An 11,233-nucleotide genomic window follows, 5' to 3' on the forward strand; every position below is an offset into this window, starting at 1 on the left:
GAAAGAGCTTTCGTGAGAAGCTGGGCCAAGATTCAATTTCAGGTATCTGTGGCTTCAAGGCCTGAGGCCTTTCCTTCCCGGGGTCTCCTGCCTCCACGGAGATGGCTCTCCTTGTTGGTTCCTGTGTCTGACTTCAGACTCTAAACCCTTTGGGATCACTCCTGTTTGTATCCCCAGGCTCCAGCACAGTGTTAGGCAGGTGACAGACAGGTGACAGAACTTGTTGTTTGTTGGGTAAGTGGGTAAGCAGTGAGTGAATGAATGGGCTAAGCCCTGGGCCCTTCTGTCCAAGAGCGCAGAAAAGGCCCCCTGCCCAGAAACGTTGCTCCTGCTGGCCCCAGGACCAGGGCACATCCTGCTACAAAGAGCTGCAGAGCTGTCCTTTATCCAGAATGTGGTGCCCCCTCCCCAAGCCCTCTGCCACCCTGGCCCCCAGGTCTGTTCTCTGTGGAGTGGCCATTCCACACTCACCAGTTACAGGATGGGCCTTCTCGTGAGTCCTGCTCTCGCTCACAGAAGGAACTGGCTCTGTGCCCCTTGGCCCCGAAGACCAGGGCCTGTCTGCAGAAGCAGTAAGTCCATGAGCAGTGCAGGAACAGGCGGTCCCAGCCCCCAGAGGCAAGAGGCCACCCTGCCCGCAGGCCAGGGCGCTCTGGAATGAGCCACGCACTGCTGAACAGTCACCATCCGCAAATGCCTGTGGACATTTCCCCCAGTGTGGGGTTGGGGCCTCTACCTCCCACTGTTCCTCCTTCTCCTGGGATGTTTTTGGGTAATGGTACCATCATCCTCCTAGTCACCCCAGCGTGTGTGCTCAGAGTCACCATGTCCGCTATGTGCCATCAATCACTGGGTGCTGCAGAGTCCTTCTGACTAGCTTGGTCTGGCACCCAAGCCCAGGCCCCTCTGTCTCTCCTCAGCCAAGAATGGGACTTCCTCTGTCCCTGAGCCCTCTCAGGTGCCCTGTGCTCCTGCCTGGCCGGCCACCCTCTCTCTCTTCCCCAAAAAGCCTCGCCCTCTGTCTTTGCCTTGGCGTTGCTGTTCCTCAGAATTCAGCACAGCCCCACCAACCACTCCCGAGTCCCCCGGATTCACTCCCCACTCCCCACTCCCCACCTCCTTGTTTCCCTCCTCCTTCTCCCTTTCCCCAGGAGGGAAATTGAAGACAGTTAAAAATAGAACAAATCGAAGTGCACCGGCCAAAGCCAAGCACCACTCAGCAGGAAGCACCTGAGGCTCGGTTCCCCCTGCTGGAAGGCGCCCCAGGCAGGCCTCACCCTCCCCTCCCTGCTGCCTCCTCCGTATGTTCAAATCCTGCCAGACTTGCACCCAGCTGGGAGAGATGATGTTCAGACCGCAGGCTGCTGGCGGTGCATGGGGGGCCAGGGGCTCGGGCACTCATGGATTTCAGAGCAGTTCTGCCCAGGCTCGCTGGCCGCCGCCACCTTGCTGTGCTCCTGAAGCAGGTCAGAGCCCACCCCCAGGGCCCTTCTGTGAGCCCTGGGCTGGAAGATAATGGCAGGGGAGGGAGGCCGGAGCAGGCGGCTAGGGTTGCAGATAAAAGGCAGACACCCAGGCCCAGTTAAATAAATTTCTGAGCAATTACAATTATTTGCTAGTACAAGTATATCCCGGCAATATTTGGGATATATTTATGCTAAAAAAGTTAATTTGTTGTTGATCTGAAATTCAAATTTTACCAGATGTCTTGTTTTGTTTTCTTCTGTTTTCTTTGCCTACATAGGTGCTCAGTCAGGCTACCCTGGGTAGTCCCAGGGGCAACCCTGCCAGGCCTGTTCCCCATCCAGGCCCGGCACTCCAGCAGAGTGGAGGCAAAGAGAAGTGGGTGGGAGGGAGTATTCATTTCCTAGGGCTGCCTTAACAAAGTGACACAAACTGGAGAGGGGGTGGAGGTAAAAACAACAGAAAGTTGTCTCACGTTCTGGAGGCTGGAGTCTGAAATCAAGGCGCGGGCAGGGCCTTGCGCTCTCTGACGGCTCCGGGGGGAGGAAGCTGCCTTGCCTCTTGCAGCTTCCGGCGGTGGCCAGTGTGCCGTGGCTTATAGATGTCACTCCACTCTCGGCCTCAGTTGGCATAAGGCATCGTCTCCTGCGTGTCCCTGGGTCTCTGTTTCCTCTGCTTCTAAGGACACCAGTCATTAGATGAGGGCCCACCCTAATCCAGAATGATCCCATCTGTGTCTGCAAAGACCTTATTTCCAAGTAAGAGTGCCTTCTCAGGTTTCAGGGAGACACGAATCTGGGGGGACTCTTCAACACAGGAGAGAGAACTAAGTCTGACTTCATTCTGCATTCACGCACACCCACCTCACTGAAAACTTTCAGATCCAGGTGACCATAAAACTGACCAGAAAAAAAAAAAAAAATCAAATATCTGCTCCAGAAGTCCTTAAAGGCCAAACCCATGCAACTCCAGGGCGGCAGGAGCTGGCACTCAGTGACACCTCGGGCCTGAGTGAGGAGGCTGGAACTTGCCTCCACCTGCTTCTTGCAAAGAACCTTTCAGAAGGGGCACCCACCCCACCCCAGACACTAGCAAAATGGTGCCAGCATCACTACAAGAAAGCTCTGGAGGCAGTGTGTGTGTTCTTGGGGCCATTAGTCAAGTCTGTGCAGGGCGGAGGTTCTGTGAGAGGCTGAGTTCCTGCGGAGGGAAAGGAAGAGCTGTGCCCAGGCCTGCTGAGAGGCTGCACAGGCCAGGCGCCCCCACGCCCTCCCAGGCCCAGAGTCCATTTCAGCCATGTGCCTGGAGCCTGGCTGAGGGAGGGAGTGCCAGGCTGATGAAAGTGAGAAGGCTCAGCCCGGCGCAGTGGCCCATGCCTGTAATCCCAGCACTTTGGGAAGCTGAGATGGGAGGATCACCTGAGGTCAGGCGTTCGAGACCAGCCTGACCAACATGGAGAAACCCCGTCTCTACTAAAAATACAAAAAAATTAGCTGGGGGTGGTGGTGGGTTCCTGTAATCCCAGCTACTCGGGAGGCTGAGGCAGGAGAATCGCTTGAACCTGGGAGGTGGAGGTTGCAGTGAGCAGAGATGGCGCCATTGCACTCCAGCCTGGGCAACAAGAGCGAGACTCCGTCTAAAAAAAAAAAAAAAACGAAAGAGAAGGCTCAGGTAAGGGATTGAGCACTGGCTTCTGACAGCCTCAGAGGAGCAGAGGGGTTGGGAGCTGCTGCTCCCTGGAGAGCCTCTTGGAATCCCACTGAGCTCCCAGATCCCAGACTCTGCCCCCACCAGCAATACGGCCCAGCCCTGCAGTAGGCATATCTGTTGGGGCCCAAAGTGTGTTGTGAAAATGCACAGTGCCTGCAGAGCGGACACACAGGCTGGGCTCCTTCCCTTGTTTTCTGGAGCCCCTCTGGGTGGAGAAGCCCTCGTTTCAGCTACCTCATAATTAATAATGACATAATGGAGTGCACTGTCGGGGCAGCCAAAGGAATAGTAACGCAGTGGAGAGCAGTCCATGATTTAATGCACTGAAACCAACAGCCTCGGCCCCCAGCACACACACGCAGGCTGGGCAGCTCCTTCTCAGGGGCCCGCACTGCCTCCTTCTCCTTGGCAGGTGTCTTCTTGGGGTCACACATTGGAACAGCCCTGTCTACAGCCTTGCTTGCTGCCCCTGCGGTGTGGAGACAGCATCACTCTTGCCCAGGACGCCTGGCTGCCTCTCAGGGGTGAGGGGGTGAGACCTTGATTTTGTGGGCCTATAGCAGCCTCTTTCTAGTCAGATAAAGGCTCAAAACCTCCTTCCTACCTTCCTCCCTTCCTCCCGGCCTGAGGCAGTCACCCTCATAGCCCTGTAGAGTCTTCAGAGAAGTGGCAATTCAAAGGCTGAATGCTCCATTATGTGGCTCCGGCAAATGGCTTGTCTCCCGTGGAGAGATACAGAGGAGTGGGTCTTTGACAGGCTGGAGATGCTCTGATCCGCCCGCGGTGCTGTGGAGCACGCCGGTGCCTTGCGTGTGTTCTGGCCCAGAGCCTACTGGGCCACGATTTGTGTATCTTTTGTAAAGTGCCATGCGTGAGCCGGATCGGCCCTGACATAATTACTGGAATATTTTAATATGAAGAAGAGTCTCTGAGTCATCTGCTCACACACCTCCACCGGGGCCCCATCTTAGCCAGGACACTGGTCAGAGACAGATTGTCTTCCTCTGATGGGGAAGTGACAACTCAGCCTCCCCAGAGGGAGGGCTGAGCACAGAGAGACACCTGCAAGGAGAGAAGCAGCTTCAGGGAACCGCCCAGAAAATAAAGGGCTCTTGGGATCCTGCAGCTCCCATTCTCAGGCCAGAGGGAGCAGTGCAACAAAGGGGGCCGGCCTCTGCTGACATCAGCGAGACCCCAAATAACAGGACCCTAGAAAGAAGCTTTGTCAGACCAAATCTGGGGAGGCAGAGGGGAGGAGGAAGGAAAGCCCTCGGGAAGCCACGCTCTCACTCCTCTCCATGGGGCTCTGGGATGGAGACGTGAGAAAAAGGTAACTGAAGTCTGAGTTGACAAAGCCTGAGACAGAGGAAATGTACAGTTGTAATGAAATAAAGCTTACAGTCAACTTCATCTGACACACATAGAATGATAGGCAGAATCTTTACTGTGCTGTTGCCTCTCAGTCCTAAATGACCATCGGTTCACTCACATAACCGCAGTTAGTGTGCCTCTCACAGGGGCACACTCTGCACTTCTGGGGTCTGTGGAGGCGAGCCCAGTCCTGCCGCACAGCTGCTGTTCTCCAGATCCTCGAGGCCGAGGCCCTTCCACTCTCTGGGGAGAGGATGCCCCAGCATGGAAACGAAAAGGTAAGTAAACTGTGCTGGCTTCTCTTTCAGGATGTTTCTTTCTTTCTTTCTTTCTTTTCTTTTTTGAGATAGAGTTTCGCTCTTGTTGCCCAGGCTGGAGTGCAATGGCACGATCTCAGCTCACCAAAACATCTGCCTAGGTTCAAGAGATTCTCCTGCCTCAGCCTCCCGATTACAGGCACGCGCCACCACACCTGGCTAATTTTTGTATTTTTAGTAGAAACGGGGTTTCTCCATGTTGGTCAGGCTGATCTCAAACTCCCAACCTCAGGTGATCCGCCCGCCTAAGCCTCCCAAAGTGCTCAGATTACAGGCGTGAGCCACCATGCCCGGCCAGGATGTTTGTTAATAGTAAGCCAGAAAATGAAATTTAAGGGAAGGCCATCTATGCATGAATCAAAGTCCCCATGGCCCCCAGGAAAGCCACGTCATCAGCTTGCCTTTCTAGCACCTCACACCGAGGCAAGAATGGCTGGAGGTGACCCCCAACCCTCCAGCCTCCCCCAGCACTATTTATTTGTCAGTACAAATGGGGAAGAATTGCAGCTTGTGTGTTACAGGAAAGATGTGGTAGAAATGATTTCATAACTCGCCTTTAAAAAATCGACTCTCTTTTAAAATCTATGATAGCCAGAAGGAGACAGTCCAACAGCAGAGGAAAATTTCAAAGTAAAGCTGTTCTTAGATTCCTCCTCCCCAGCATTCAGATCTTCTCCAACTTCCGGCATCTTCTTTCTTCTGCCTCTCAGGAGTCCAGAGCTTCTGTGTTGCCCACTGTCCAGACCCCCCTCTCTGGCTTTCACCTGCCCTTTGCCTCCTGCACAGAGCCCTATGATCCCTAATAACTTTCTCTTTCCCTCCCTTTCTCAAAGCTCCCTTTCTTCTAAAAGTGATCCTGAGCTAGGAAGTCTCCCAATATTTTACTTTTCTATAGTGATAATAAAGAAAGAAAAGAAGAAAAGTGTCACAGTGGAAAAGACCAAGCAGATCAAGAGGAATAAAAGACAAACCACAGACTGGGAGAAAATATTTGCAGAAGATATACACGACAAAGGACTCTTGTCTAAAATATACAAAGAACTCTTAAAACTCAACACAAACAAAATAAACAATTTGATTAAAACTGAGCCAAGACTTTAACAGACACCTTACCAAAGACATACAGATGGCAAAGAAGCATAAGAAAAGATGCCCCACATTTTAAGTCATCAGGGAAATGCAAATTAAAACAACAACTACTACACACCTAGTAGAATGGCCCAAATCCAGAATACTGATAACACCAAATGCTGGCAAGGATGTGGAGCAACAGGAATTCTCGTTCATTGCTGGTGGGAACGCAAAATGGCACAGTCTTGTTGGAAGGCAGTTTGGCAGTTTCTTGCAAAGCTAAATGTACTCTTAGCATATGATCCAGCAATTGTGCTCCTTGGTATCCATACACAGACCTGTCCATGGGTGTTCATAGCAGCTTTGTTCATAATTGCCCAAACTGGGAGCAACCAAGATGTCCTGCAGTAGGTGAATGGATTAATAAACTGTGGCACATTCAGGTAATGTACTATTATTTAGCTTTAAGATGAAATGAAGCCAGGCGTGGTGGCAGGCACCTGTAGTCCCAGCTACTCGGGAGGCTGAGGCAGGAGGACTGCTTGAGGTCAGGAGTATATGACTAAGTGAAATAAGGCAGTATGAAAAGATTACATACTACATGATTCCAACTATGTGACATTCTGGAAAAGGCACAACTATAGAGAGTAAAAATCTCAGTGGTTACCAAGGTTAGGTATGAAGGGGGGAAGGATGAACAGGTGGAATGCAAAGGAATTTTAGGGCAGTGAAACTGTTCTGTATGATACTGTAATTGTGGATCTATGTCATGATACATTTGCCCAAACCCATAGAATGTACAACACCAAGAGTGAACCCTAATGTCAAAAATATTTTCTTTGGGTGACAATGACATGTCAGTGAAGGTTCATGAATTGTAATGAATTCATGCTCTGGTGGGGGGTATTGATAACGGGGGTTGCTATGCATATATGGGGGCAGGGAGGATATGAGAAATCTCTCTACCTTCTCGGTTTTACTGTGAATCGAAAGCTGCTCTAAAAATACAGCCTAAAACAAAGAGAGGGTCTGCACAGCTCCATTTCCTTGTTTTCCTCTTCTCCTTTTTTGCTCTTACTCTCATCTTTTTTTTTTTTTTTTTTTTTTTAATGTGAGAAACATAAACACTCTTTGGGAAGTAAATTTTTCTCATCTTTAGAACTAGCCCTGGCACCTTCACTAGAGCATTTGGATTACTTTCCCACCCAACCTCTGGACAAAATCCTCCTTCTCCTCTCCCCCTCTTCTCCTCTCCCCTCCTTCTCCTCTCCCTTCCTTCTCCTCTCCCCTCCTTCTCCCCTCCCCTCCTTCTCCTCTCCCCCCTTCTCCTCTCCCCTCCTTCTCCTCTCCCCCCTTCTCCTCTCCCCTCCTTCTCCTCTCCCCCCTTTTCCTCTCCCCTCCTTCTCCTCTCCCCTCCTTCTCCTCTCCCCTCCTTCTCCTCTCCCCTCCTTCTCCTCTCCCCTCCTTCTCCTCTCCCCCCTTCTCCTCTCCCCTCCTTCTCCTCTCCCCCCTTCTCCTCTCCCCTCCTTCTCCTCTCCCCCCTTCTCCTCTCCCCTCCTTCTCCTCTCCCCCCTTCTCCTCTCCCCTCCTTCTCCTCTCCCCCCTTCTCCTCTCCCCTCCTTCTCCTCTCCCCCCTTCTCCTCTCCCCTCCTTCTCCTCTCCCCTCCTTCTCCTCTCCCCCCTTCTCCTCTCCCCTCCTTCTCCTCTCCCCCCTTCTCCTCTCCCCTCCTTCTCCTCTCCCCTCCTTCTCCTCTCCCTTCCTTCTCCTCTCCCTTCCTTCTCCCCTCCCCTCCTTCTCCTCTCCCTTCCTTCTCCTCTCCCCTCCTTCTGTATGATGTTCTGTATCATACAGAACAGTTTCACTGCCCTAAGTGACTATGCAAGACTATGTGTACCTTGTCTCTCTCTGAACCTCTTACCTGCATCCTACAACCACTGTTGTCATCCTCCACACACATTATACCTCCTACTGACCTTCAGACAGGTAACCCTGCTGTCATCCACTTCCATTGACAAGAGTCAAAAGTCCAGCAGTATCCAGGCAGTTCTTTCAACAGAAGGAATTTAACGTAGGCAATTGGTTACAAAGGTGATGAAGGGCTGACAGAAAAAAAGGGGACCAGGGACACTGATAATAATGAACAGGAAGCAGCTATTACCCCCAGTGCTAGGGGAGCAATGGGAAGGGACTGGATGTATCAAGAGATGGAATTTTGGAGAAGGGACCCCCCAGGGCAGAGACGTTGCCCAGCTGCTGCTGGCTGGGACCTCTAGGGAGGCATGGTGAGGCTGGTTCTGGGAGCTTAAACAGAAGCTGGCAGCTGGAACAAGCTGCTGTTGTGCCCAGGACAGGACAAAATGCTGCTGTTAGAGCAGCAAGAACTGGAACAATAACCAAACAGAGAACAGAAAGTCTCCTCTCCCCTCCTCCTTCTCCTCTCCCCTCCTTCGCCTCTCCCCCTCCTCCTCTCCCCTCCTCCTTCTCCTCTCCCCTCCCCTCCTTCTCCTCTCCCCTCCCCTCCTTCTCCTCTCCCCTCCTCTCCTTCTCCTCTCCCCTCCCCTCCTCCTCTCCCCTCCTCCTTCTCCTCTCCCCTCCTCCTTCTCCTCTCCCCTCCTCCTTCTCTCTCCCCTCCTTCTCCTCTCCCCTCCTCCTTCTCCTCTCCCCTCCTTGGCCTCTCCCCCGCTCCTCCTCTCCCCTCCTCCTTCTCCTCTCCCCTCCCCTCCTTCTCCTCTCCCCTCCCCTCCTTCTCCTCTCCCCTCCCCTCCTCCTCTCCCCTCCTCCTTCCCCTCTCCCCTCCTCCTTCTCCTCTCCCCTCCTCCTTCTCCTCTCCCCTCCTTCTCCTCTCCCCTCCTCCTTCTCCTCTCCCCTCCCCTCCTTCTCCTCTCCCCTCCCCTCCTTCTCCTCTCCCCTCCCCTCCTTCTCCTCTCCCCTCCCCTCCCCTCCTTCTCCTCTCCCCTCCCCTCCTCCTCTCCCCTCCTCCTTCTCCTCTCCCCTCCTCCTTCTCCTCTCCCCTCCTCCTTCTCCTCTCCCCTCCTTCTCCTCTCCCCTCCTCCTTCTCCTCTCCCCTCCCCTCCTTCTCCTCTCCCCTCCCCTCCTTCTCCTCTCCCCTCCCCTCCTTCTCCTCTCCCCTCCCCTCCCCTCCTTCTCCTCTCCCCTCCCCTCCTCCTCTCCCCTCCTCCTTCTCCTCTCCCCTCCTCCTTCTCCTCTCCCCTCCTCCTTCTCCTCTCCCCTCCTCCCTTCTCCTCTCCCCTCCTCCTTCTCCTCTCCCCTCCTCCTTCTCCTCTCCCCTCCTCCTTCTCCCCTCCCCTCCTCCTTCTCCTCTCCCCTCCTTCTCCTCTCCCCTCCTCCTTCTCCTCTCCCCTCCCCTCCTTCTCCCCTCCTCCTTCTCCTCTCCCCTCCTCCTTCTCCTCTCCCCTCCTCCTTCTCCTCTCCCCTCCTTGGCCTCTCCCCCCCTCCTCCTCTCCCCTCCTCCTTCTCCTCTCCCCTCCCCTCCTTCTCCTCTCCCCTCCCCTCCTTCTCCTCTCCCCTCCCCTCCTTCTCTCCCCTCCCCTCCTCCTCTCCCCTCCTCCTTCTCCTCTCCCCTCCTCCTTCTCCTCTCCCCTCCTCCTTCTCCTCTCCCCTCCTCCTTCTCCTCTCCCCTCCTTCTCCTCTCCCCTCCTCCTTCTCCTCTCCCCTCCCCTCCTTCTCCTCTCCCCTCCCCTCCTTCTCCTCTCCCCTCCCCTCCTTCTCCTCTCCCCTCCCCTCCCCTCCTTCTCCTCTCCCCTCCCCTCCTCCTCTCCCCTCCTCCTTCTCCTCTCCCCTCCTCCTTCTCCTCTCCCCTCCTCCTTCTCCTCTCCCCTCCTCCTTCTCCTCTCCCCTCCTCCTTCTCCTCTCCCCTCCTCCCTTCTCCTCTCCCCTCCTCCTTCTCCTCTCCCCTCCTCCTTCTCCTCTCCCCTCCTCCTTCTCCTCTCCCCTCCTCCTTCTCCTCTCCCCTCCTCCTTCTCCTCTCCCCTCCTCCTTCTCCTTTCCCCTCCTTCTTCTCCCCTCCCCTCCTTCTTCTCCCCTCCCCTCCTTCTCCTCTCCTGTCCCCCAGTGTGCTCTAATGGCTAAGAGTCAGCTGCCAAAGGAGAAATGCCCTTTGCAGAGTCCCAGACGTGGCGAGAACAGGAGAATGGCGTTAGGGGTGAGAGAGGTGAGTGACCGGAGGATGCACTTGCTCACAATGACTCTCAATTCCAAGATGTGGCACCGTTGACAAGATAGCACAGTGCATCCTTCTGCCATAAGCTTGCAAAACACAATCAGAGCAAAAAGCTAATTAATAAGAACCACGTATTTCAAGTCAAATCTATAGATTGAGACCATCGCAAAAATTCTGGGGTTTTTCGATGGCTTCCGTGAACATCTCTGCTCACTGGGGTGTTGGGAATTTGGATAAGGCAGGGAGATCACCCGCCTGCAGAATCCAGGCTTCCTCTGAGAGGCTGCTGGCTGTGCCCAGAGATGTCTTGGCCACGAACCCCTCAGTCACTGCCAGCGGGTTCTGCACGCGCCTTGGAGTCCCGGGCATCCACTGACATTTCTTCCCCCGGCCCCACCACCACCTTGTCTCTATTCCTCTTCGCTGCGGTTCATTTCTCCCAGGGCCCCATGCACTTGTCCTCGGACCCTCGGGCGGAAACTGGGCCAGCGCTTCCCCTGGTGGCAGTCAGTGAAAGTCCTCAGATTACCTTCATCGGAGGGAAATGATAATCGTGTTTATTCTGAACTTCACCTCGGACCAGGCCCTGTACTAAGCCCCCTGTTTGGATGCCCTGTTTGGAGACACTTTCACCTTCATGAGGGCTTCTAGTCCGGCGCTGGCCAGTGCCAGCGGTTAGGAGCGTCTCCCCTGCACTGGCCAAACACGTGCCTGTAACTTCCAGCCTCCACCCCTCATTTCGCTCCCTAGGGCCACGTGGACTAAACCTAATCCCTCTCCCACAAATGTCTGCATCATCCCATCTGTCCACTACCACCTGCACCAGCCACCGTCCCACCAAGTCTGCCCTTGCCCAGTCGCTCTCCTCTAGAGACCTACCCATTCAGAAGGGCCATCCATTTCCGTTAAACTTGGCCTAGTGACCTAAGAGTGGTGGGAACAGAGCAAGGCCATCAGCCTCCTGCTCTGAATGCCACACTTTAAGTGCACCTGAAGATGTTCAAATATCAGTCACTGACGGTGAATGGATAGTGCCAAGAGACCTGTGGCCTTCCACTAGAGACCCCTCTGATCCATGAGGCAGTATTCACTTATTTACCCAGGTAACTGTCTGCATCA

The 11,233-nt window shown here is 54.2% G+C and overlaps 1 annotated feature.

Moving 5' to 3' along the window:
- Positions 1,275–1,454: an enhancer, noted in NCBI's record as "active region_22177". NCBI's record gives its function as "activates an Ori minimal core promoter by ATAC-STARR-seq in GM12878 lymphoblastoid cells {active_cell/tissue: GM12878}" and the evidence as "EXISTENCE:reporter gene assay evidence [ECO:0000049][PMID:35858748]".

Source organism: Homo sapiens, chromosome 4 (assembly GCF_000001405.40).
Source record: "Homo sapiens chromosome 4, GRCh38.p14 Primary Assembly".
Lineage (NCBI taxonomy): Eukaryota > Metazoa > Chordata > Mammalia > Primates > Hominidae > Homo > Homo sapiens.